Here is a 26702-nt window from a genome sequence, read left to right as displayed (position 1 = left end):
CCATTGGATAGGAAGTCTTGCTTTCAATAGGATAAGAAGCTTCTGTGACTTTATAGCTTCTAGATGACTTCTTCAAGCTGTTCCTCCAGATTGAGAGGTCTCGGGTTCAGGTTATCTGATAGACCCATGGGCCCCCTTTACCTTGTTTTCTGCACAAGTGCTGGATGAGTGCCATCAAACCAAAACCTAACACGTCTTTGAGTTAAAATATAAACTAAACTGCAGCTTCGTCAGGATGAAGTGAAAAGGTGTGAGGTGGCAGCAGTGTGTGTGCTCCTGCCGTTCCTCATTTTAAGCATCTAAACAGGACACCTGAAGCCCGTTTACTTTCCAGGCTGGAGACTTGGCAACAACGTGGGAATGGGGAACGGGCCCGAGTTAAGTCACTGGCTTAGCCAAGGTCACAGCTGGCATCTGGGTGAACAGCGCTGCACGGTGTCCGCGGTGCCTCTAGGGGGCGGGGCTTCCGGCTGGCGCTGACCGGCTTCCGGCGGAGCGGGCGGGAGGTGGGGCGGAGTTGCTGCTCGGGGGCCTCTGGGTGGAGGGGGATTCAGACGCCGCGTCTGGTGTGTCCCTTTCTCCTTCCTGACCTTCCTCAGTCTGCAGCTCTTTTCTCCACCGCGCGCCCGCCTCAGCCGTTCAGCCCTGAGCTGGCGGGTGGACGGGCATGGATCCAGGCGGTGGGAGCAGTCTGCGAAGTCAGGGTAGGAAGGCTACACAAAGGAGGCGACATCCCAGCCCGGTCCTCAGGAATAAGCGGGCGTGCCCGTGTGGTGTGGACGGTGAGGGGACACTGTATTAAGTGCCTTATCTGCATTATCATTGAATCTTCATAGCAATCGATTGTGATGGGTACTGGTCATCTCCCCGGGTTGTAGATGAGGAAACTGAGGCCTCAGTAACTTTGCTTTAGTCAGTAAATGATAAGAGTCAGCAAATGAATTCCCAAGCGTAGACTCGGCCGTACCGCTGCTCTACCTTGCTAATAACGACCTACCTGTAAGCGACATTTTTGACAAAATGTCCTTTAAACATCTTTTGTGCTCAGCTCTGTATTCGTGGGCCCTCCAAAGGGGGTACAGGCAGGTAGAAGCCTCCGTCCCTACCTTATAGGTTGTATATATCTGAACTGGTCGACTAAAGATGCAAAGCGAAGTGCTCCAGTGAGTGTGGTACAGGTTGTTGAGATGAAGGAGAGATGGCAATCAGCTAAAGTTACTGAATACGTCAGGAAGGAGGCTGGTTTCAGCTGGCTGTGATTGGGAGGATCAATGCGAGGACATTCCGAGTCGGAAACAGCCAAGGCGAAGACTCACAGGTGGGTGAAGGGAGTAAACATGGCTTTGGAAATATTTCCAGTTTTCTCTGACCAACTCGTTTATCACCTAGCCGTCACATAGATCACACCAAGAAGCTGATTGATTTACGGTCACATTTCTTTCATGTTGCTTTGGAAAAGATACTGAAGCCTCGGGCAACATAATGAGACCCCGTCTCTACAAAAAAAAAAAAAAAAGAAAGAAAAGAAAAAATTAGCTGGGTCTGGTGACGCATGCCTGTAGTCCCAGCTACTTGGGAGGCTGCGGTAGGAGGATGCCTTGACCCTGGGAGCCGTGATCATGCCACTGTACTCTAGCCTGGGTGACAAAGTGAGACCCTACCCTCTCAAAAAAAAAAAAAATGAAAGAAAAAAGATATTGAAAGCTTAGAAATGTGCAGGAGTGGGCAAGTAAGATGAATAGGTTAGTAGGTCCCGACGTCCTGGGCTGCGTGCAGCCCACAGGCCACAGGTTGGACAAGCTTGATCCAAAGGAAGATGCCGCCTCTCCATCACAGCCAGTTATTGCCAGGCAGCAATGCCGCCAGTGCAGCCAGAATGTTGCCTTTTCAAGAAAGCCAGAAATCGAGGCTGGGTGCAGTGGCTCACGCCTGTAATCCCAGCACTTTGGGAGGCAGAGGCGGGTGGATCACGAGGTCAGGAGATCGAGACCATCCTGGCTAACACGGTGAAACCCCATCTCTAGTAAAAATACAAAAAATTAGCTGGGCCTGGTGGCAGGTGCCTGTAGTCCCGGCCACTCGGGAGGCTGAGGCAGGAGAATGGCGTGAACCCGGGAGGCGGAGCTGGCAGTGAGCCGGGATCGCGCCACTGCACTCCAGCCTGGATGACAGAGCAAAACTCTGTCTCAAAAAAGAAAGAAATCGAGATTTATGTGAAATCTCCCAATCTGTAAATATAGGTGAAACATTGAATTTTTTTTTTTTTTTTTTTTTTTTTTTGTGACAGAGTCTGGCTCTGTCGCCCAGGCTGGAGTGCGGAGGCACGATCTCGGCTCACTGCAAGCTCCACCTCCCGGGTTCATGTCATCCTCCTGCCTCAGCCTCCTGGGACTACAGGCGCTCGCCACCATGCCCAGCTAATTTTTTGTATTTTTGGTAGAGACGGGGTTTCCTCGTGTTAGCCAGGATGGTCTCGATCTCCTGACCTTGTAATCCGCCCACCTCCGCCTCCTAAAGTGCTGGGGTTACAGGTGTGAGCCCCCACGCCCGGCCGAATCATTCAATTTTTTTTTTTTTTTTTTTTTTTTTAGTATTTATTGATCATTCTTGGGTGTTTCTCAGAGAGGGGGATTTGGCACGGTCATAGGACAATAGTGGAGGGAAGGTCAGCAGATAAACATGTGAACAAGGGTCTCTGGTTTTCCTAGGCAGAGGACCCTGCGGCCTTCCGCAGTGTTTGTGTCCCTGGGTACTTGAGATTAGGGAGTGGTGATGACTCTTAGCGAGCATGCTGCCTTCAAGCATCTGTTTAACAAAGCACATCTTGCACTGCCCTTAATCCATTTAACCCTGAGTGGACACAGCACATGTTTCAGAGAGCACGGGGTTGGGGGTAAGGTTATAGATTAATAGCATCCCAAGGCAGAAGAATTTTTCTTAGTATAGAACAAAATGGAGTCTCCTATGTCTACTTCTTTCTACACAGACACAGTAACAATCTGATTTCTCTTTCTTTTCCCCACATTTCCCCCTTTTCTATTCGACACAACCGCCATCGTCACCATGGCCCGTCCTCAATGAGCTGTTGGGTACACCTCCCAGACGGGGTGGCGGCCCGGCAGAGGGGCCCCTCACTTCCCAGACGGGGCGGCCGGCCGGGCGGGGGCTGCCCCCCACCTCCCTCCCGGACGGGGCGGCTGGCCAGGCAGGGGCTGCCCCCCACCTCCTGGATGGGGCGGCTGCAGGGTGGAGATGCTCCTCACTTCCCAGACGGGGCGGCTGCCGGGCGGAGGGGCTCCTCACTTCTCAGACGGGGCGGCTGGGCAGAGACGCTCCTCACCTCCCAGACGGGGTGGCGGTCGGGCAGAGACACTCCTCAGTTCCCAGACGGGGTCACGGCCGGGCAGAGGCGATCCTCACATCCCAGACGGGGCGGCGGGGCAGAGGCGCTCCCCACATCTCAGACGATGGGCGGCTGGGCAGAGACCCTCCTCACTTCCCAGACGGGATGGCGGCCGGGAAGAGGCTCCTCACTTCCCAGACTGGGCGGCCGGGCACAGGGGCTCCTCACATCCCAGACGATGGGCGGCCAGGCAGAGACGCTCCTCACTTCCCAGACGGGGTGGCAGCCGGGCAGAGGCTACAATCTCGGCACTTTGGGAGGCCAAGGCAGGCAGCTGGGAGGTGGAGGTTGTAGGGAGCCGAGATCACGCCACTGCACTCCAGCCTGGGCAACATTGAGCACTGAGTGAGCGAGACTCCATCTGCAATCCCGGCACCTCGGGAGGCCGAGGCAGGCAGACCACTCGCGGTCAGGAGCTGGAGACCAGCCCGGCCAACACGGCGAAACCCCATCTCCACCAAAAAATACAAAAACCAGTCAGGCATGGCGGCGCCTGTGGGCAATCCCAGGCACTCGGCAGGCTGAGGCAGGAGAATCAGGCAGGGAGGTTGCAGTGAGCCGAGATGGCGGCAGTACAGTCCAGCCTCGGCTTGGCATCAGAGGGAGACCGTGGAGAGAGAGGGAGAGGGAGACCGTGGAGACGGAGACGGAGACGGAGACGGAGAGAGGGAGAGAGGGAGAGGGAGACCGTGGAGACGGAGATGGAGAGAGGAAGAGGGAGACAAATTTTTTTAAAATCACTAGATGGACCAACCAAAATAGGTCTATTAGATAATTGTAGACCCTGGACTCTACTGTAGAATTTCATGGTATAGTAAGGACTGTACCTCTACTAAAGACTGAGATTCTACATCTTTTGATTATAAATTGTTTCTAGCCTGTTGCCTTCATTCTTTTTTTTCTTTTTTTTATTTTTAGAGACAGGGTCTCACTATGTTGACTAGGTTGGTCTTGAACTCCTGGCCTCAAGCAATCCTCTCACCTTGGCCTACCAAAGTGTTAGGATTACAGGCATGAGCCACCATGCCCAGTTGCCTTCATTATTTTATAGAATGAAGATGAGGCTTTTCCTTCCTTTGCGGTCCCCTGAAGGGACTCAAATAACAACCAACACAGCACTCAGGTTCTGAGAGACGCTGGTTTCAGAAAGGAATCTGGAAGGTGCTTTTTCTGGATTCCATTGAATACCTTGTGGTTTCAAGTCTGTTAGAACTAGTAGGACCGGCTGGGTGTGCTGGCTCACACCTGTAATTCCAACACTTTGGGAGGCCAAAACGAGCAGATCACTTGAGGCTAGAAGTTCGAGGACCAGCCTGGCCAGCATGGCAAAACCTCACTTTGGGAGGCTGAGGCAGGTGGATCACTAGAGCCCAGGAGTTCGAGACCGGCCTGGGTTTTTTGCAACATGGCAAAACCCCATCTCTATAAAAAAATACAAAAAAAGAAAAAGAATGAAAATGCATATTTTTCACATTTTAAATTTTGGATGTGTCTTATCAATACATTCATTTAATACACACTGTTTTTCCTCTCAAAAGAAAGTTGTTATTAAGTTAGTGATTTACAATCAGTAATGTCTTAGAATCAGGAATATTCATGATTAACTAGCAATGCTGAGGAAGGGAGTTTGAAGCCCTTTTAGTGAAGGACCTTCCGGACCTGGAAGCAGGCCCCACTTAACTGAGACTCTTGCTCAGAGCCTTTAAAAGTTTCCATCTTTCTCTGCTTCTCAGGATTCTGCCCTGCCCCTCCGCTCTGCATCTGACAGCTGGGATCTCGGGATCCTGTTTTCCTAAGCTTGCTGGAATTCCTGCAGTCCTCATGTGAACTCCCCTGGCCTCATCACCATCCTGTCTTACGGCTGTTCTGACTAAGGAATCCCAGTTTAGACAACTGAGTATCAAGTTCTCTCCCTAAGGAATTATCTGATCACAGTGGCAGGTAGACTCCATTTGGGGTATCTCTTTTCTGCAGGATAATCTCCTGACATATCTTTATGTACACAGATATAATATTTCCATTGGAAACAGATCCTGCCACCCCTGTTAGGAGTCATCAAGCCTGCGCCCAAGTTCACTTGGACTCTGCTTTATTCTGGAAAGATTAATAAATGGGCTACAGCTCTGGCAGCGTCAAAACTGGCCAGACCAACAGACCTCCCAGGAAAGCAAAACTCCTTTCCCTCATCCATGAAGCTGTACTCATCTTGTTAGATGTGAGACCTATTTCTTATTTCTTCCATTTATTCACCTGACTCGCTTTCAGAGTCCTTTATGCTGCATGCCTTCATTCCTGGTGCCCTCTCTTGTCTCTTCCCCAGTCCTGCTGAAGCTGCTCTTTAGCCCAGGCCCCAAGACTATATGGTCCCTGTGGCAGCAGCCAATGTTGTTTCAGGAAGCAACAGCATTTGAAAATATGACCAAAGATTGGAATTATTTAGAAGGCTCTCAAAAGGATTGCTACAGAGACACAATGCTGGACAGTTATGAGAACACGGTCCCACAGGGTAAGGGCTCAGAATCTTCCTTTATTAATCTTGTGGACAATTGTCAAGGGGAAACCGTCATTTAAAAATATCCCCACAGCTTTCTTCTCGATTCCCCAAGATAAGGACAGACTCCTCAGCCATAAGAAATTTTTTTTTTTTGAAACAGTCTCGCTTTGTCGCCCAGGCTGGAGTGCAGTGGTATAATCTCGGCTCACTGCAACCTCCACCTTCCAGGTTCAGGCAGTTCTCCCTGCCTCAGTCTCCCGAGTAGCTGGGATTACAGGCTCCTGCCACTACACCTGGCTAAATTTTGTATTTTTAGTAGAGATGGGGTTTCACCCTGTTGGCCAGGCTGTTCTTGAACTCCTGACCTCAAGTGATCCGCCCACCTCGCCCTCCCAAAGTGCTGGGATTACAGGCGTGAGCCACTGTGCTTGGCCAAGAAATTGTTTCTGTTGATCATGGGAAGGCTCAGAAGCAATCCCTGGTACAAATTTCAGTTTAAGAGTTTGCTGTTATTATGTGGTACCTTTTAGCAACGTTCTCCCATTTATATTATTTTAAAGGGTACTGAGGGTAAGATTTTAGCCTACTGCCTTAGGAGTTTCTGTTTATCCTCTCTCCTATTCAGTTAATAAAAACCAGTTGATTAGGTTTCTTGCTATAAGCTAATGACTTCATTGTTTTTGCTGTTTGCCTAAAGTCTAAAACCTCTACATATTTGTGATCTTTACTGATGTCAAATTCTGTTGCTATGCTGTGGTTTTGGATGGTGCTAGTTGGCTTTCTAGTTGCTTTTTAACTATTATTCTATTATCATTCTTCCATATAATCATCTTCAAAAATTAGATGAAAGAATTGATGAGGAACTTTAGAGGGAAAGTCTTCCAGGTGGGAGTGTCAGTGAATTTAACTTTGTTCTCTTTTCTTCCTTTCTTAGGATCCTTCTTACAGCTCTCCATGATGCCTCAGAGAGCTGGAAATGATCCACCTGGGGTTTCAAATGCAAGTGAAATGGAAATGGAGATAAGTAACATGAGAGAAAAGTTTCTTATGAGTGTAACAAAGTTAGTAGAAAGCAAAAGTTACAACAGCAAGGTATTTTCCAAAGAAAAGTACTTTCAAACAATAAAGGAAGTTAAAGAAGCTAAAGAAAAAGGGAAGAAGTCATCACGTGATTATCGCCGTGCAGCAAAATATGATGTGATCTCTGTACAGGGCACAGAGAAACTGATAGAGGCTACTCATGGAGAACGTGATCGAATACGGTATTATGTACATAAGGAAGAGTTGTTTGATATTCTTCATGATACACATCTCAGTATTGGACATGGTGGGCGGACACGCATGCTCAAGGAGCTGCAAGGAAAATATGGGAATGTCACCAAAGAAGTTATTGTCTTATATCTGACTCTGTGTAAACAGTGCCACCAGAAGAACCCAGTACCCAAGAGAGGCCTTGCACCAAAGCCCATGACTTTTAAGGACATAGACTCCACATGCCAAGTTGAAATACTTGACATGCAGTCCAGTGCCGATGGTGAGTTCAAGTTCATTTTATACTACCAGGATCACTCAACCAAGTTTATTATTTTACGGCCATTAAGAACCAAACAGGCCCATGAGGTGGTCAGTGTCTTGTTAGATATTTTCACAATTCTTGGTACACCCAGTGTGTTAGACTCTGACAGTGGCGTTGAGTTCACAAACCAGGTTGTTCATGAGCTCAATGAGTTGTGGCCAGACCTAAAGATTGTATCTGGTAAGTACCACCCTGGCCAAAGCCAGGGCTCCCTGGAAGGAGCAAGCCGTGATGTAAAGAACATGATAAGTACCTGGATGCAGAGTAACCACTCATGTCACTGGGCCAAAGGCCTCCGATTCATGCAGATGGTGAGGAATCAGGCTTTCGACGTTTCCTTGCAGCAAAGTCCATTTGAGGCAATGTTTGGCTATAAAGCCAAATTTGGGCTATATTCCTCAAACTTGCCCCGGGAAACTGTGGCTACTTTACAAACGGAAGAAGAGCTAGAAATTGCTGAAGAACAGCTAGAAAATAGCCTTTGGATCAGGCAGGAAGAAAGGGCTGAGATTGGAGCAGACAGATCTGATATGGACGATGACATGGATCCCACTCCTGAAGCTTCAGAACCCAGCACCTCACAAGGGACTTCCGGTCTCCTCTGCTGGTGAACAGATGGCTGCTGGGTGGACAGTCACAGGTGTCTCTCTGAGCATAGTCATCTGAGAACTGTTGCCAGAGGCCCCAGAGGAAAAGATTGAAGGCTGCACTCTCAGGTCAAGTTGTACATGGCAGTCCTTGCTCAAAAAGACAAAAGTTCAGGTCTGTGTATTTATTCTTAGGGCTGCCATAAAAAATTACCACAACCTGGCCGGGCGCAGCGCTCATGCCCGTAATCCCAGCACTTTGGTAGGCCAAGGTGGGCGGGTCACTTGAGATCAGGAGTTCAAGACTAGCCTGGCCAACATGATGAAACCCTGTCTCTACTGAAAATATAGAAATTAGCCAGGCTTGGAGCTGTGTGCCTGTAATCCCAGCTAACCAGGAGGCTGAGGCAGGAGAATCACTTGAACCCAGGAGGCAGAGGTTGCAGTGAGCCGAGACCATGCCACTGCACTCCGGCCTGGGTGACAAAGCAAGACTCTGTCTCAAAAAAAAAAAAAAAAAATTACCACCACATGGGTGACTTAACAGAAATTGAGTCTCACAGTTCTGGAGGCCCAAAGTCTGAAATTAAAGTGTTAGTAAGGTAGGTTCTTTCTGGAGGCTCTGGGGGAGAATCCATTCCATGCCTTTCTCCTTTCTCTAGTGGCCATCGGCAATCCTTGGCAGTCCTTGGCTTGTGACAGTGTAAGTCCAGTCTCTGCTTCTATCTTCATGTGGCCTTCTCCCCTGAGAAGGCCATAATTTTTTATGGCAGCCCTAAGAATAAATACACAGACCCGAACTTTTCCCTTATTAAGCAAGGACTACCATATACAACTTGACTTGAAATACACAGGAATACCTGTGTGTATTCTTTCCTGTCTCTTGTAAAGACATCACTGGACACCAAATCCATGTCACTGGATTTAGGGCCCACTCTAATGAGGATGATCTCATCTCGAGATCCTTACCTTAATTAGATCAGCGAATACTCTTTCCAAGTAAGGTGACATTCACAGGTACTAGGGACCTGAACTTGAACTTATTTATTTATTTTTTTTTTCATTTTTTTAGAGATAGGGTCTCCTTATATTGCCCAGGCTGGTCTCAAACTCCTGGGCCCAAGGGATTGGCCTCCCAAAGTGCTAGGATTACAGGCACACGCCACCACACCCAACCAGGACTTTTTTTTTTTTTTTTTTGCTCTTAACTTTTTTTTTTTTTTTTTAATTGATCATTCTTGGGTGTTTCTTGCAGAGGGGGATTTGGCAGGGTCACAGGACAATAGTGGAGGGAAGGTCAGCAGATAAACAATGGATTAAGGGCGGTGCAAGATGTGCTTTGTTAAACAGATGCTTGAAGGCAGCATGCTCCTTAAGAGTCATCACCACTCCCTAATCTCAAGTACCCAGGGACACAAACACTGCGGAAGGCCGCAGGGTCCTCTGCCTAGGAAAACCAGAGACCTTTGTTCACTTGTTTTTTTTTTTTTTTTTTGAGACAGGGTCTCGCTCTGTCACTGAGGCTGGAGTGCAGTGGCACAATCTGGGCTCACTGCAGCCTCTGCCTCCCCAGTTCAAGCAATTCTCCTGCCTCAGCCTCCCCAGTAGCTGGGACTACAGGCGTGCACTGCCACACCTGGCTAATTTTTTTTTTTTTTGGAGACAGAATCTCACTCTGTCGCCCAGGCTGGAGTGCAGTGGCATGATCTGGGCTCACTGCAGCCTCCGCCTCCCAGGTTTAAGCGATTCTCCTGCCTCAGCCTCCTGAGTAGCTGGGACTACAGGCACGCACCCCCACGAACCCAGCTAATTTTTGTATTTTTAGTAGAGACGGGGTTTCACTATGTTAGCCAGGATGGTCTCGATCTCCTGACCTCGTGATCCACCTGCCTCTGCCTCCCAAAGTGCTGGGATTACAGGCGTGAGCCACCACGCGCGGCCAGACTTACCTTTTTAAGAGACACACTTCTCATTGTAGTCAATAGAAGTATATGTCTGCAAAACAAGAACTGATGGATGAGGTCTCAAGAATGTAAAGCTGGTGGGACTGCCCTAGATATATCTAATACATATTCCTGCCCCTCAGACACATACTCTAAAACATGGAGGCATCACAGGAAAATAAGTAGATGAAGGAAGGCTGGGCACGGTGGCTCATGCCTGTAATCCCAGCACTTTGGAGGCTTAGGCGGCCGATCACTTGAGGTCAGGGGTTCGAGACCCGCCTGGCCAACATGGTGAAACCCCGTCTTTACAAAAATGCAAAGTATTAGCCGGGCACGGTGGCATGCACCTGTAATCCTGGCTACTCAGGAGCCTGAGGTAGGAAGATCCCTTGAACCTAGGAGGCAGAGGTTGCAGTGAGCCGAGATCATGCCACTGCACTCCAGCCTGGGCGACAGAGCAAGGCTCTATCTCAGAAAAAAAAAAAGTAGATGAAGGAAAAGTAATAGGAAGAAACAAGGTTCATCTAAGATGCCCTAGAGACTGGCCACCTTACCAACTGGGCTCTGTTTCCCGCTTCAGGAGAAACTGTATGTGCCATCCCTTTTCTCAGAGCATTATGCACAGATAATTGTGTAACTGCATGAAACATATATTAAAATTAGGTCAGAAGTAAAGTATGGTTGGAATTTGGGTATGCGTCTGCCACTTGTCTGTGTCTCAAGCACTTAAAAACATATCCTATTCCTGGCACAGTTCAGTGCATTTCGGGAAGTGACCAATAGTCAGGGAAATAATCAAGGTTTCTGGAACAAAATGCAAGAGTTGGCCTGAGATCACTGCTCTACCTAGAGAGGAGTAGGGCAAGGCCAGTCTGGGCCATGATTCAGAGTAAGGATGACTGACCCAGCCACAGGGGAGGACAGTGCCCAGGACCTGTGTACTCCTATGTTCCCAATGCCTAAGAGTGCCCAGCCCATGGAAAGTGTTCAGTGAATTTAATGAATAAATGATTCTACAGAAATGGGCACGGGGAAGGAGAAAGGGCCTGCAGTCTTTTATTTTTATTTTATTATTTTTTTTTTGAGATGGAGTCTCGCACTGTCGCCCGGGCTGGAGTGCAGTGGCCACAATCTTGGCTCACTGCAACCTCCACCTTCCAGGTTAAAGCGATTCTCCTGCCTCAGCCTCCCAAGTAGCTGGGATTACAGGCGCCCGCCAACCACGCCCGGCTAATTTTTTGTATTTTTAGTAGAGATGGGGTTTCACTATGTTGGCCAGGCTGGTCTCGAATGCCTGACCTCATGATCCGCCTGTCTTGGCCTCCCAAAGTGCTGGGATTACAGGCGTGAGCCACTCGCCCGGCCGGTCTTTTATTCTTCATACAAGTGTCCTTCCTGCACATCCCAGAGCTATCTAAGACCCATTCTGATCATCACTAATGCCAGTTCCCTCTTCTGTAAGGGGCAGTAACACCCCTGGTGCTGCCTACCTCACAGGATTGTCCTGAGAGACCAGCGAGATTCTGCATGTGAAGGGGCTTTCTCTGAATAGTGAAGTTCTACAATGTGACTCATCTTTGCGGACCCTGTCCTCCACGTGAGGGTGGGAGACCTCTGCTCATTGCCATTTCTTTTCAGATTCTGCAGTGTTAAGTTGGAAGGTTTCCACGGAAGCCACATTATTATTACATAGGAAGTGACATCACTTTCCAGCTTGTTTTGGGGGGCCAAAATCTTGCTATGTTCTTGGCCAGCACCTCAGTTTCCATCCTCCTTCCAACCCATTGTCTTTCTTTGTAACTCTGCCTAACAGGTCTGGGAGGTCCAACTTTGACTGAGGATGTTACCTTCCCCTCCCCAGTGCTGACCTCCTCCCTCCTAGTTACTTGGCATACCGGGAACCACATCATCAACTCCTGTGGGTAAAAGGTGACACATGAGCCATAACACTGCTTGCTTTCCCAGAGATGCCTGGGTTTCCAGGAGCTGCCACATCACTCTTCCTCTTTTGCATCTTAATGTTGGCAGTGGGAAAGAGTTAGAGGTGGATTCCTGGACCCAGTCTGGCCTGCATTATTTCAGCATGTGGAATAGAGGTCACTAACCGGTGTGCCACAGGCTAGTCTCAGCTTGCAAATGTATTTTGTCCACATAATGTTTTTAATTTTTTTTTTTTCTAAACAGAGTTTCGTTCTTGTTGCCTAGGCTGGAGTGCAATGGCGTGATCTCGGCCCACTACAACCTCCACCTCCCGGGTTCAGGTGATTCTTCTGCCTCAGCCTCCTGAGTAGCTGGGATTACAGGTGCCCGCCACCACGCCTGGCTAATTTTTGTATTTTTAGTAGAGACGGGGTTTTGTCATTTTGGCCAGGTTGGTTTCAAACTCCTGACCTCAGGTGATCCACCCACCTTGGCCTCCCAAAGTGCTGAGATTACAGACGTGAGCCATGGTGCCCGGCATTTTAAATTTTTTTTTTTTAATTAATTGCCAACACTTTAAACACTGGAGAGTTCATATAAAAATCTGGATGTCTAGCACCTCTTGAGAACTCGGCATATGTGGCCACAGTGGGTCCACAATTTCTGCACAGCAGCAAATGAGGAGACGCAGTGCATGTGGCACTCTCCAGGTGGCCACCCTCAGCCACTCACATGCATATTCGTTTCTGTGGCCCACTGCTGAAGAAAGGCCACTGCGGGGCATGGTGCCATGTACCTGTAATCCCAGCTACTTGGGAGGCTGAAGTGGGAGGATCACTTGAACCTGGGAGGCCAAAGTTAAAGTGAGCCATGATCGTATCACCACACTGCAGCCTGGGTGACAGAGACCCTGTTTCCAGAAAAAAAGAAAAAAGAAAAAGAAAAATGGCCAGCAACAGACCTGTGTATCTCTAGGAACTTATGATAGAAGTGGCATTTCAATCAGTGGGAAGGGTTGTATTATTCAGTTAATGGGGCTGGATCAATTGGCTGTCCATTTGACAAAAATGAAGTCTGACCCCTAAACATTAAACATTTAAAAATAATGATAAAAATATTGGGGGGCTGGGTGCGGTGGCTCACGCCTGTAATCCAAGCACTTTGGAAGGCCAAGGTGGGTGGATCACCTGAGGTCAGGAGTTCGAGACCAGCCTGGCCAACCTGGCAAAACCCTGTCTCTACTAAAAATACAAAAATTAGCTGGGTGTGGTGGCAGGCGCCTGTAATCCCAGCTACTCAGGAGGCTGAGGCAGGAGAATCACTTGAACTCGGGAGGCAGAGGTTGCAGTGAACCAAGATCGCACTACTGCACTCCAGCCTGGGCAACAGAGCAAGAATCTGTCTAAAAAATAAATAAATAAATAAATAAATATATATATATATATATATATATATATATATGTATGATATATATATGTATGATATATATATGTATGATATATATGTATGACATATATATGTATGATATATATATGTATGTATGAAAAAAGATGTTTGTGATCTTGGAGAAAAATATTAATACATCTGGCTACATAAAAATAAATACTGGTATGGAAAAATAATGCCATTTAAAAAGTAGAAAATAGGCTAGGTGCAGTGGCTCATGCCTGTAATCCCAGCACTTTGGAGGCCAAGATGGACGGATCACCTGAAGTCAGGAGTTTGAGACCAACCCGGCCAAAATGGCGAAACCGCATCTCTACTAAAAATACAAAAATTAGGCATGGTGGCAGGTGCCTGTAATCCTAGCTACTCAGGAGGCTGAGGCACAAGAATTGCTTGAATCTAGGAGGCGGAGGTTGCAGTGAGCTGAGATCGTGCCACTGCACTCTAGCCTCGGTAACAGAGTGAGACTCCCTCTCAAAAAAAAAATTGTTTTCTAAAAATCTGTTATGATTTTCTTTCTCATCCTTGGCCATTTCTTCTAGTCTTAGTTTTAGCTGTGACTTTTCTGTGTAAGACTCACTTATGCCTCTTCCAGGCTCCTGCCTTCTGACTACTATGGGCTTCTCAGAGTCAATAATCTCCCCTAACATATTCTTCCTTCTGTATTCCACTAGTTCTATTAATGGCACCATGGGTCACCCAACCCAGAGTCATCAGTGTATCATTCTCCCTCACTGCCCCTAGCCAATTTGCTAAATCATGTCATCCCTACCAGTAGCAGATTATATTTTCCAAATGTCAATGCAACAGTATATCTGTAACACATGTTCTTCGAGAACTTTGCACTTTCCTATCAAGAGATGGAGTTTTTATCACCCCTCCTTGAACTTCGGCAGAAATTTGTTCTTGCCTTGACCAGTCTAGTACAAAACAGTAATAATATGTGGCTTCTGAGGCTGTTATAAAAATGCCACCTCACTCTCTTGGAATGGTTTACTCTTGAAACACAGTCACCATGTTGTGAAGAAGCCCAGGCAGCCTGTGGAGAGGCCCACATTGAGAGGAGCCAAAGCCCTGGGCCCTCGGCCCTGGCTGAGCTCTTAGCCAACAGACAGAACCAACCTGCCAACCATGTGAGTGAGCCATCTTAAAAGGAGACTCCCCAGCCCCCAGTTCATCGTCCATTCAATACTGTATAGAACAGAGACAAGCCCTGGCCAAATTGCAGAGTCATGTGCAAAATAAATGAATGTTGTTGTTTCAAGCCACCGAGTTTAGAGGTGGTTTGTTATGCAACAGTACATAACTGATAGGCTAACTCTGAAATGTCTTAAATCTGTTACCATCTCTCCATTCCCCCAGGACAGGCTCTTGTTACCTTTGTTGATTGGAGACAACCCACCTAGTGAATCTTCCAGAAGTAAAGCTCTGCTTGGAATAATAGTTAACACTACTGAATACTAATTTACCTACAGTATTAGTATTGAGCTTTAAATTCATTTTCTTTTTTTTTTTTGAGATGGAATCTTCCTCTGTCGCCCAGGCTGGAGTGCAGTGGCGCAATCTTGGCTCACTACAAGCTCCACCTCCCGGGTTCACGCCATTCTCCCGCCTCAGCCTCCCAAGTAGCTGGGACTACAGGCACCCGCCAACACGCCCGGCTATTTTGTATTTTTAGTAGAGACGGGGTTTCACCATGTTAGCCAGGACGGTCGGTCTTGATCTCCTGACCTCGTGATCCACCACCCACCTTGGCCTCCCAAAGTGCTGGGATTACAGGCGTGAGCCACCACGCCTGGCCTTAAATTCATTTTCTTATGTAATCCTTACGATCCTACAAAGTCAGTTGAAGCTGAAGAAATGAGTTTAAATAGGTGTATTAAGGACTTAATTTTCCTCTCATAAAGAAAGAAATAAAGCTCAGAAAGTAATAACTAGCCCAGGGTTCAAACCTAAGTGTCAAGTCCAAGGTCAATGCTTATAACCATCTTCCCTGCTCAAGAATCTCCATTGGGCCAGGTGCAGTGGCTCGTGCCTGTAATCCAAGCACTTTGGAGGCTGAGGCAGGAGGATTGCTTGAGCCACAGGGTTCGACACCAGCCTGGGCAACATAGTGAGGCATGGTATTAGGTTTGGTGGCTCACACTGTAGGCCCAGCTACTTGGGTGGCTGAGGTGGAAGGATCTCTTGAGCCCAGGAGGTCAAGGCTGCAGTGAGCTACGATTGCACCACAGCCCTTCAGGGGAAAAAAAGAAATCTGCAGTGGTTCCTCACTCACAGGATAACAACTTAAACCTGGCATCCAAGTTGGACTATCATATGGTCCCAACTACCTTTGCAGCTTTGGAATTAAGGCATCAGGTCTAGGCACATGAATTTCCTGGTTGCACTTGTTTTGTGTGGGGTGGCAGGAAGAAACTCAGGCCATCGGCTACTCTAGGCACTGCCAGAGTCACTTATTCTTTCCAGAACTTGGCTTCCTCATCTAAGGTGACAGACAATTGAACCAACTCGTTTTAAAGTTCTCTTCCAGTTCTGCCCTGTGTAGTATGAAGACTGTCCTCTTCTACTTTTGTACTTCCTACCTCTTCTAGAACCCCAGCCTGAGCTTCCTGCCAGGGCACATGTCCCCACTTCCGAGATGGAGAGAAGATAGGAGACTTAGAGATGAATGCTTTTGTGAATGTTCTCTATTTACCCACTTTTTCAGAACTAGCTTTGGCCTTATATTGTGGAATAGAATCTGCTTGTCTGCAGCTCTAGGGGTAGAAGGAACGTTTTCTTCTGATATTTCTGAGATCCCTATTACCAGTGGTTTTTTTGAGACTAAGCATTGGAATGTCATTAGCACTGAGAAGGAAGGGCAGTGGGGGAGGCAACCGAGAAGCTCAGACTTACATTCTTGCTTCCAAATTATTTTGCATGCTTTCTGGACATTAGTACAACAGACCATTGAAGTATGGTTTGCCAAGGTTAGGTTCAATCAGTGCATGAGCCCGTTACCTCTGCAATTACTTTACCCTTCTTCAATTTGGTGACTTTGGGTTGTTGAATTGTAAGGGGGAAAGGTTTTTTGTTTTGTTTGTTTTTTTTAGTTTGTGATTTACAGTTCTTCCTTCCATTTGTTTTGTGGAAGCTTTATAGAAATTGATTTGAAACCTGAGATACTTTGAAATATAAAAGAGCAAGAGTTATCCCAGGACTCTCATTCAAAAAGTTGACGGATGGCAAAACAAGCTTGTCCCTGGAATCTTCAGAATTTTCTTCAGAATTCTATCCCTTTGAACTTACTGAATTTGGTTTCTTTTTTAGTTCCTGGTTCTTCCTTATTTTTATCATGGTGCTAATCTTTGTTTACCCAGGTTCTGACATTTTTACCCTAGAATTAATTACCCCAGATGGTCGACTCTACTGTGTTTTCCAAGCAAACAAAGAAGGCAGGAAATGTGAGCTTCCTGAGCAAATTGCCTTTCCGTTTTAATATGAGACTTTGCCTTTTAGAATCATATTTTTCTTATGTTTACTTTTCTTCATTATTATTATTATCATTATTATTATCATTTTGGTTTGGATCTAGTTAGAGTTTCCCTTTTCCATTTAAAATTTGGTCCTGATATTTTGCTTTTTGCTTCCCCATGTCTCAATTTGTTAAATCTTATTGTTCTATGTAATTTGAATTGCTACATCCTTTCTGTTGACTAGCTCCTTGCTCAGAATAACTTTTCCACACCTGGAACTTTGGCGTAGGAGTTCTTTTCACTTTTATGCATTTCCCGCGACATTACAGGGTGAGTACGTAGCAGATGAGTGCTTGTGAGCCTTTCCTCTGGGATTCACACAGATGGCTCACTCCTAACTTTGGTGAGTCATTCAGTGGCCAGATGTTTGCCTCTTTCCTCCTCCCCACTCTACCCCCACAATTCAGTGTACTGTTCTTTGAATGACATCCCCTCTTGTTTTTGCCTCTCTTTCTCCTGATGCAATGGCCAAAATGCTGGAAATGGCTGCCTTAAATGTAGGGACCATTAGGATCTCGCTCAACACAGAACCCAGGCCACCTGTAATAACACAGCTGGCTCCCAGTCCTGAAACCCTGCCTTTCTGCCCTGAATGGGGTGCAGAGAACCAGTCCAGACACCTGAAACTGCCACCCTTCTTCATCTGTAGGTGCAGGGGCCCTCTGTATCAGGAAGAGAGCCTCTCTGAAATCCACTGTCATTCTGGGCTTTTCCTGGACCAGCTCTCCTTACCTACCCCCTTCTCTAGCCTGTCAGTTTCACTCATTCATTGGACATTTATAAGCACTAAGTATGTACCAGGCATCATGCTGGCCTTTGGTGGTACCAACAAATAAAGAGACTGCTAAATGCAGAAAAATAGGCACAGAGTAAAGACTTGTAAGTCTGTAAAGGAGTGCTCAGTGAGAAGTCACACAAGCTAAGTTTCCAAGGACCATTTGCAGATCACTGCTGAACATTCTCCATCCTGCCTACTTTGTATTAGAGGACTTCTTGCAGGGAGAAATATAATCAGCAGGATCCTCGCTCAGAGACCTGGCAGACACCACCTTAACCCAGTGATCAAAGTTAACCTCCCCAGTACATGTACAACTACTGCTGCCCTGAAAGGATGCACTGAGAACATTTCTGTGTCATTTCTACCACAGATGCGCTACTTGAATCTAATTATGAAGAGACAAGAGACAAACCCAGATTGAGGGGCATTCAGCAAAATAATTGCCCTGTACTCTTTAAAAAACGGCAATGTTGAGAAAGACAAAGAAAGACTGAGGAGCTATTCCAGTTAAAGTAGGCTAGAGACACTGGGAACCAAATGTGATGCATGATCCAGGATATTCTTTTATTACAATGAGCATCATTGGGACAGTTGGTAAAATGTGAATATTGTCTGAAGAGTATAATATTGTATCAAAGTTAATTTCCTGGTCTTGAGGATTGTACTGTGGTTATGTAAGAGAATGTCCTTGTTTTTAGGAAATAGATGTTGAAATATCTTGAGATAAAGAGCATTATGTCGGCGACTTATTATCAAATAGTACAGGAAAATGAGTGTGTGTGTGTGTGTGTGTGTGTGTGTGTGTGGAGAGAGAGAGAGAAGGGAGGGACAGAGGGACAGAGAGATATAAAACCAATGCACCTGGGTGCGGTGGCTCACGCCTGTAATCCCAGCACTTTGGGAGGCCAGGGTGGGCAGATCATGAGGTCAGAAGTTCGAGACCAGCCTAACCAACATGGTGAAACCCCGTCTCTACAAAAATACAAAAATCAGCCAGGCGTGGTGGCACGCGCCTGTAATCCCAGCTACTCAGGAGGCTGAGGCAGGAGAATTGCTTGAACCCAGGAGGCGGAGGTTGCAGTGAGCCAAGATCACGCCACTGCACTCCAGCCTGGTGACAGAGCAAGACTCTGTCTCAAAAAAAAAAAAAAAATGCAGTAAAATGTTAACATTTGGGGAATCTGGGTGAAGAGTGGGAATTCTTTGTACTATTCTTGCAACTTTTCTGTAACTCTACAATTACGTCCAAAAAAAGAAGAATTGACAAGGTCCCACCAAAGAGGAGAGACAGCTTTGAACATGGAAATACAGGGCAGTAACTTGGCAGTTTGCTCTTTGGCCTGCAAAGGCAGTATTCATGTGAGTGAGAGTCACTTGTCTTCAAGTCCTGGCATTTTATGTAGCAGATCCCAAAAGCTGCCTGAAAGCCCCCAGGCCTTGTGTCGTTTCCCCTTCTGTTCACAGGTATCTTCCAGGCACTCACTAGAATATGGTGTCTGACAAGTTTCTCAGCTAACCAAGCATGGACCCAGAATTCTCAGAAATACCAAGGACAGTTTCTATGGCACTGACCAGGCTTCACCCTAGAGAGTGGTCCCCTACCGAGAACAATTCTTCCTTTCCCCTGGCTACAAAATAGGGATTCCTGGCCTATTTCTGCCAAATGCTTTGTGGAAGCAGAAAATCATAAGCCTTGTGTTTTCTCCATTATAGAAAATTAGGCCAGGTGTGGTGGCTCATGCCTGTAATCCCAGCACTTTGGGAGGCCGAGGCGAGTGGATCACTTGAGGTCAGGAGTTCAAGACCAGCCTGGCCAACATGCTGAAACCCTGTCTCTACTAAAAATACAAAAACTAGCCAGGCGAGGTGGCGGGCATCTATAACCCCAGCTACTCAGTAGGCTGAGGCACGAGAATCGCTTCAACCTGGGAGGCAGAGGTTGCAGAGATTGCGCCACTGTACTCCAGCCTGGGCAACAGAGCGAGACTCTGTCTCCAAAAAAAAAAAAAGAAAAGAAAAATAATATTCCCTCTTTCTTGGCCCTTGGTTTTTGGGGTGCTTTTTTGTTGTTTAATAATGGACTTTATTTTTATTTTATTTTTATTTTTGAGACGGAGTTTCGCTCTTGTTGCCCAGGCTGGAGTGGAATGGTGTGATCTCGGCTCACTGCAACCTCCACCTCCCGGGTTCAAGCAATTCTCCTGCCTCTGCAAATCTGTAGTTTACATTAGGGTTCACTCTTTGTGCTATGCATTCTATTGTGTTTGTTTGTTTGTTTAGAGACAGGGTCTCACTCTATTGCCCAGGCTGGAGTGCAGTGGCGCAGTCATGGTCTACTTCAGCCTCAAGCTCCTGAGCCTAAGTGATCCTTCCACCTCAGCCTGCCAAGTAGCTGAGACTACAGCATGTGCCACCATGCCTGGCTCATTCTATGGGTTTTGACAAATGTAAAATTACATGTAGCTACCATTAAAGTATCATACAGAATAGTTGCACTATCCCAAAAATCCCCTGTACTCTAGCTAGCTATTCATCCCTCCCTTCCTACTCCCCAAACTCCTGGAAACCACTGATCTTTTTACTCTCTATAGTTCTGCCTTTTCCAAAATGTTATATATAGTATGTTCCTTTTTCAGACTGCCTTCTTATACTTCACAATGTGTATTTAAGTTTCCTCCACGTCTTTTGTGGCTTGAATAGTTCATTTCTTTTTTGCACTGAATAATATTCCATTGTATGGATATACCACAGTTTATGCATTCACCTACTGAAGGATATCTTGCTTGCTCCTAATTTTCGGCAATTATGAATAAAGCTGCTATAAAGATTTGTGTGTGGTTTTTGTGTGGGCATCAGATTTTGGTTCATTTGAGTAAATAGGAGCACAACAATCACGAGATTGTATTTTAAGAGTATGTTTAGTTTTGGCCGGGCGCGGTGGCTCACGCCTGTAATCCCAGCACTTTGGGAGGCTGAGGTGGGCGGATCACGAGGTCAGGATATCGAGACCATCCTGGCTAACACAGTGAAACCCTGTCTCTACTAAATACACAAAAAAATTAGCCGGGTGTGGTGGTGGGCACCTGTAGTCCCAGCTACTGTGGAGGCTGAGACAGGAGAATGGCGTGAACCCGGGAGGTGGAGCTTACAGTGAGCCTAGATCGCGCCACTGCAGTCCAGCCTGGGCGACAGAGTGAGACTCCATCTCAAAAAATAAAAAAGTATGTTTAGTTTTTTAAGAAATTGCCAAACCAGGCTGGGCACGGTGGCTCGTGCCTGTTATCCCAACACTTTGGGAGGCCGAGGTCAGAAGTTCAAGACCAGCCAGGCCAACATGGTGAAACCCCGTTACTACTAAACATGCAAAAAAAAAATTAGCCGGGCATGGTGGCACGCCCCTGTAATCCCAGCTACTTGGAGGCCGAGGTGGGAGAATTGCTTGAATGTGGGAGACGGAGACTGCAGTGAGCTAAGATTGTGCCACTGCGCTCCAGCCTGGGCAACAGAGGGAGACACTGTCCCAAAAAAAAAAAAGAAAAGAAATTGCCAAACTGTCTTCCAATGTTGCTGGCCATTTCGCCTTCCCACCAACAATGAATGAGAGTTCCTGTTATTCCACATCATCACTTGCTTTTGGTGTTGTCAGTATTTTGGATTTTAACTATTCAAATAAATGCAGCGGTATCTCATTGTTTTAATCTGCAATTCCCTTGAGAACATATGATGTTGAACATCCTTTCATATGGTTATTTGCCATATGTATATCATCTCTGGCGAGATGTCTGTAGATCTTTTGCATATTTTTAAATATTTTGTACATTTTTAAATTGGTTAGTTGAGTTTTAAGAATTCTTTGCCTGCTGAGGAAAACAGTCTTTTATCAGATATGTCTTTTGCAAATACTTTGTCCCAGTGAGTGCTTTGTCTTTTCATACTCTTGAGACACTTGAGTGTCTCACTATGTTGTCCAGGCTGATCTTGAACTACTGGCCACAAGCAATCCTCCTGCCTCAGCCTGCCCCATGGCTGGGCTCGGCCCAACACTTGGTTTTTATTTACCCTATTTCTATGTCTCTGTTTCAGAGCTGGCTGGCTAATCTTGGCTACAGCCAGAGACTACAAACTATTGAACTAACAACAATAGAGATTTTTAAAAGAAAAAAAAAAAGCTGTTTTCAAGATAAAAGTTTACTTACTCCAGTGCTGTGAAAATCAAAATCAATATGCTTAGCACTCAGTCACTTGAGGAAACTAATAAAACCTAAGAATGTTGTTTGTTTTTGTTTTTTTGTGAGACAGAGTCTTGCTTTGTCGCCAGGCTGGAGTACAGTGGTGCGATCTCGGCTCACTGCAACCTCCACCTCCCCAGTTCAAGCGGTTCTCCTGCCTCAGCCTCCCGAGTAGCTGGGACTACAGGCATGCGCCACCACACCCAGCTAATTTTTGTATTTTTAGTAGAAACGGGGTTTCACCATGTTGGCCAGGCTGATCTTGAACTCCGGACCTCAAGTGATCCACCCACCTGGGCCTCCCAAAGTGCTGGGATTATAGGTGTGAGCCACTGTGCCTGGCCATGCTTAATAATTTTGGACCCCAGTTGACCACGGGTAATTGACACCATGGAAAGCGAAGCAAAACCACCAGATACCTTGATCTTGGATTTCTTGATAATGAGAGAACTACTGATAATAAGGAAATACCAGATAGTGAGGGAACTACTGTAAATTCTAATCTATATTGAGGAACGAAGACATGATCATCAAAAGCATAACTGTGCTGTATCTTAAAATCTTTACATTCTTTTTCTTTTTTTTTTTTTGTTTGTTTGTTTGTTTTCAGACAGGGTCTTACTCTGGCACCCAGGCTGGAGTGCAGTGGTGCGATCTTGGCTCACTGAAGCTTTGACCTCCTGGGCTCAGGCACTCCTCTCACCTCAGTCTCCCTTGTAGCTGGGACTATAGGCCTGTGCAACCGTGCCCGGCTAATTTTTGTATTTTTTGTAGAGTCGGGGTTTCACCATGTTTCCCAGGCTGATCTCGAATTCCTCAGCTCAACCAATCTGCCTGTCCTGGGTTCCGAAAGTGCTGGGCTTCCAGGCGTGAGCCACCACCCTGCCTCCCTTCTTCTTCTGTCAAGTGTATTTGTAAATGTTTCCTTCATTATTCAGACTTCATACATTTATTGTTCTCTCTGATGGAATATTGCCAGCCTCTTCAAGCCTTGCTGTCTGATTGTAATTCAAATTGAGGTCTGCGGATCGGGAGTTGTCTTTGTAAAGCAGAACAATTTTAGTTTCAGTCTATTTTTATCTTCCCTTTAGCCAAAGAAGTTGTGTCCATCAGCAGTCTCAGTAATGCTAAGGTAATAAGCAACCCTAAAATCCTAGATGCTTACAATAACCAGGTTAAATTCTCACCCACACCGTGTGTCTTGGTCTGCTCAGGCTGCCATTGCAAAAGTCCATAGACTGGGCGCCTTAAATAACAGAATTATTTTTCTCACAATTCTGGAGGCAAGAAATTCAAGATCCAGGTTCTGGCTGATTCCGTTTTTGGGGAGGGCTTCCTTCCTAGCTCAAAGACAGCTGCCATCTAGCTATGTCCTCACACGGCCTTTCTTCAGTGCATGTTTGCAGAGAGAAAGAAACAGCTCTGGTGTCTCTTATAAAGAACCACTAATCCTATCGGATAGGGCTCCCACCCTTATGACGTGATTTAACCCTAATTACCTCCTAAAAAGCCCTATCTCCAAATACAGCCACATTGGGAGTAAAGGCTTCAACATACAAATTTCAGGGAGAAACGGTTTAGTCCATAGCACTACCTATCCATCAAGTATCTGCTGTGGGCTCCTCTCCATGTCTCCTCATTCCAGCACCCAGGGTGACAGATCAGCCACCACCTTGAATGTCGTTACTGTGGCACAGGGAATTAACACTAGTAATTAAATGCTCCACATCCACTTCCAAATCTCCTACCAAATATCTCTGTGGCTCAAGCTAACCTGAAACACTGCAGGAAGAGACTTCTGGAAAATAGTTGCAGTTTAGCTAAGCTGACACAATACACCAAATAGGTAAGGAAGAAAGAATACCCAATCCTAGGCTGGGTGCGGTGGCTCCTGCCTGTAATCCCAGCACTTTGGAAGGCCAAGGTGGGCGGATCACCTGAGGTCGGGAGTTCGAGACCAGCCTGACCAACATGGAGAAACCCTGTCTCTACTAAAAATACAAAATTAGCGGGGCGTGGTGGCACATGCCTATAATCCCAGCTACTCAGGAGGCTGAGGCAGGAGAATCACTTGAACCCAGGAGGCGGTGTCAGGCCTCTGAGCCCAAGCCAAGCCATCGCATCCCCTGTGACTTGCATGTATACATCCAGATGGCCTGAAGTAACTGAAGATCCACAAAAGAAGTAAAAATAGCTTTAACTGATGACATTCCACCATTGTGATTTGTTCCTGCCCCACCCTAACTGATCAATGTACTTTGTAATCTCCCCCACCCTTAAGAAGGTACTTTGTAATCTCCCCCACCCTTAAGAAGGTTCTTTGTAATTTTCCCCACCCTTGAGAATGTACTCTGTGAGATCCACCCCTGCCCGCAAAACATTGCTCTTAACTTCTTAACTGCCTATCCCAAAACCTATAAGAACTAATGATAATCCACCACCCTTTGCTGACTCTTTTCGGACTCAGCCCACCTGCACCCAGGTGAAATAAACAGCTTTATTGCTCACACAAAGCCTATTTGGTGGTCTCTTCACACGGACGCGCATGAAAGCGGAGGTTGTGGTGAGTCAAGATCGCGCCATTGCACTCCAGCCTGGGTTGGAGTAGAGACGGGGTTTCACCATGTTGGCCAGGCTGGTCTCAAACTCCTGACGTCAGGTGATCTGCCTGCCTCGGCCTCCCAAAGTGCTGGGATTACAAGCGTGAGCCACCACACCTGGCCCTAATTTTTTAAAATAAGGCTTCAGAGACTTGCTTGGCCCTTCCCTCTCTTCCGCCATGTGAAAACACAACAAGAAGGCACCATCTTGGAAACAGAGAGCAAGCCCTCACTAGACACTGAGTCTGCTGGTGCCTTGATCTTAAAGTTCCCGGATTCTAGAACTGTGAAAAATAAATTTCTGTTTTTTATAAATTATCCAATCTCAGGTACTTTGTTATAGAGCACAAATGGACCAAGACATTCAATTAAAATAAATTTTTGGCTGGGTACAGTGGTTCATGGCTGTAATCCCAGTGCTTGGGGAGGCTGAGGCAGGAGGATCTCTTGATGCTGGGAGTTCGAGACCAGCCTGGGCAACAGGATGAGATCCCCCCCCCACCATCTCCAAAAACACTTTTTTTTTTTTTTTTTGAGACAGAGTCTTGCTCTGTTGCCCAGGCTGGAGTGCAGTGGTACAATATCGGTTCACTGCAACCTCCACCTCCTGGGTTCAAGTGATTTTTGTGCCTCAGCCTCCCGAGTAGCTGAAATTACAGGCACCCGCCACCATGCCCAGCTAATTTTTTTTGTTTTGTTTTGTTTTGTTTTGTTTTGCGACGGAGTTTCACTCTTGTTGTCCAGGCTGGAGTGCAATGGCGCGATCTCGGCTCACCGCAAACTCCACCTCCCAGGTTCAATCGATTCTCCTGCCTCAGCCTCCCTAGTAGCTTGGATTACAGGCATGTGCCACTGCGCCTGGCTAATTTTGTATTTTTAGTAGAGATGGGGTTTCTCCATGTTGGTCAGGCTGGTCTCGAACTCCCGACCTCAGGTGATCCGCCCACCTTGGCCTCCCAAAGTGCTGGGATTACAGGCATGAGCCACCACGCCCGGCCTCATGACCAGCTAATTTTTGTATTTTTATTAGAGACAGGGTATTGCCATGTTAGGCAGGCTGGTCTCGAACTCCTGACCTCAAGTGATCCACCCGCCTCGGCCTCCCAAAATGCTGGGATTACAGCCATGGGCCACCGCACCTGGCCCAAAAAACGTTTTGTAAATAAAAATTAGCCGGGCATGGTGGCACATCCCTGTAGTCCTAGCTACTCAGGAGGCTGAGGCAGGAGGATTGCTTAAGCCAAGGAGTTTGAGGCTGCAATGAGCCATGATCATGCCACTGCACTCCAGCCTGGGTGACAGGGCAAGAGTCTCTCTCTAAAAAAAAATTATAGTAATAAAATTTAAAGATCAGAATTTATAAAAACATCTGGATTGGCGGCATCTTTTGAAAAAATCAGAAGCTCTAGCAAATATTCTATTTAAGGTTTTTGGTTGTATACAACAGAAATCAACCCTGGTTAACTTAAGCAGAAAAGGAAGGATATGAAATAACTTACAGAAAGCTGAAGAACAGGCTTAGAGGAGTAAGAACCAAGGGAGGCTAAGCAGCCAGAGCTACAACCCTAGTCATGCCACATGAGTTTTCTGGGAGAAAAACCCTGTGCTGTCCCCCCTAGACAATGGCCCTGTCACCTCTGCTGCAGGATGCAGGATCCTGCATGGACTACAGTGATTCCAATATTCCCTTAATTCTTTGCACTTAATGAAAAGGATACAAAGTCGCAGGTGAACAATCTTTTTTTTTTTGAGATGGAGTTTTGCTCTTGTTGCCCAGGCTGGAGTGCAACGGCACAATCTTGGCTCACTGCAACCTCCCCCTCCCAGATTCAAGTGATTCTCCTGCCTCAGCCTCCCGAGTAGCTGGGATTACAGGCATGCATGACCACGCCCGGCTAATTTTGTATTTTTAGTAGAGACAGGGTTTCTCCATGTTGGTCAGGCTGGTCTCGAACTTCCAACCTCAAGTGATCCGCCCACCTCGGCCTCCCAAAGTGTTGGGATTACAGGCATGAGCCACCGTGCCCTGCCGCAGGTGAATAATCTTAGTCATACGTTGGCACTCTGACTGCCTGAGAGCGGTCCCAGGTGTGTCTTCCCCTCCTGCACCTTCTATAATTGGAAGCGACTCCACTTCCCACTTATGTTGACATTCTCCCCAAATAGGAAAACCATATGAATGCTGAGCAGCTCCATATGACAAAT

The 26702-nt window shown here is 46.6% G+C and overlaps 1 protein-coding gene and 1 long non-coding RNA gene across 3 annotated transcripts, besides 3 other annotated features; both read left to right on the top strand.

Moving 5' to 3' along the window:
* Positions 324-875: an enhancer, noted in NCBI's record as "H3K27ac hESC enhancer chr17:8279661-8280212 (GRCh37/hg19 assembly coordinates)". NCBI's record gives its function as "activates a minimal SCP1, AML or CMV promoter by ChIP-STARR-seq in primed H9 embryonic stem cells {active_cell/tissue: H9 hESC(primed)}" and the evidence as "EXISTENCE:reporter gene assay evidence [ECO:0000049][PMID:30033119]".
* Positions 380-579: a silencer, noted in NCBI's record as "silent region_8180". NCBI's record gives its function as "represses an Ori minimal core promoter by ATAC-STARR-seq in GM12878 lymphoblastoid cells {active_cell/tissue: GM12878}" and the evidence as "EXISTENCE:reporter gene assay evidence [ECO:0000049][PMID:35858748]".
* Positions 514-18396, top strand: KRABD2 (KRAB domain containing 2). Of its 2 annotated transcripts, none has more exons than NM_001304947.3 (2): positions 514-1318; positions 6832-18396. In NM_001304947.3, exon 2 carries the CDS (start codon positions 6852-6854, stop codon positions 8082-8084), a length of 1233 nt encoding a protein of 410 aa, NP_001291876.1. In that variant the 5' UTR covers positions 514-1318; positions 6832-6851; the 3' UTR covers positions 8085-18396. The 2 variants fall into 2 exon arrangements, with proteins under 2 accessions (NP_001291876.1, NP_998762.1); NM_213597.3 differs by lacking the exon at positions 514-1318 and adding an exon at positions 5678-5909 and having other exon boundaries at positions 6832-8581.
* LOC100128288 (uncharacterized) lies at positions 16677-18805 on the top strand. The gene has a single exon (NR_024447.1). It is a non-coding gene; the product is annotated as an uncharacterized LOC100128288 (long non-coding RNA).
* Positions 22172-22741: an enhancer, noted in NCBI's record as "H3K27ac hESC enhancer chr17:8257795-8258364 (GRCh37/hg19 assembly coordinates)". NCBI's record gives its function as "activates a minimal SCP1, AML or CMV promoter by ChIP-STARR-seq in primed H9 embryonic stem cells {active_cell/tissue: H9 hESC(primed)}" and the evidence as "EXISTENCE:reporter gene assay evidence [ECO:0000049][PMID:30033119]".

This window comes from Homo sapiens, chromosome 17, assembly GCF_000001405.40.
Source record: "Homo sapiens chromosome 17, GRCh38.p14 Primary Assembly".
Taxonomy (NCBI): Eukaryota; Metazoa; Chordata; class Mammalia; order Primates; family Hominidae; genus Homo; species Homo sapiens.
The sequence above is the reverse complement of the archived record's forward strand: the minus strand, read 5'-3'. Positions and strand labels throughout refer to the sequence as shown.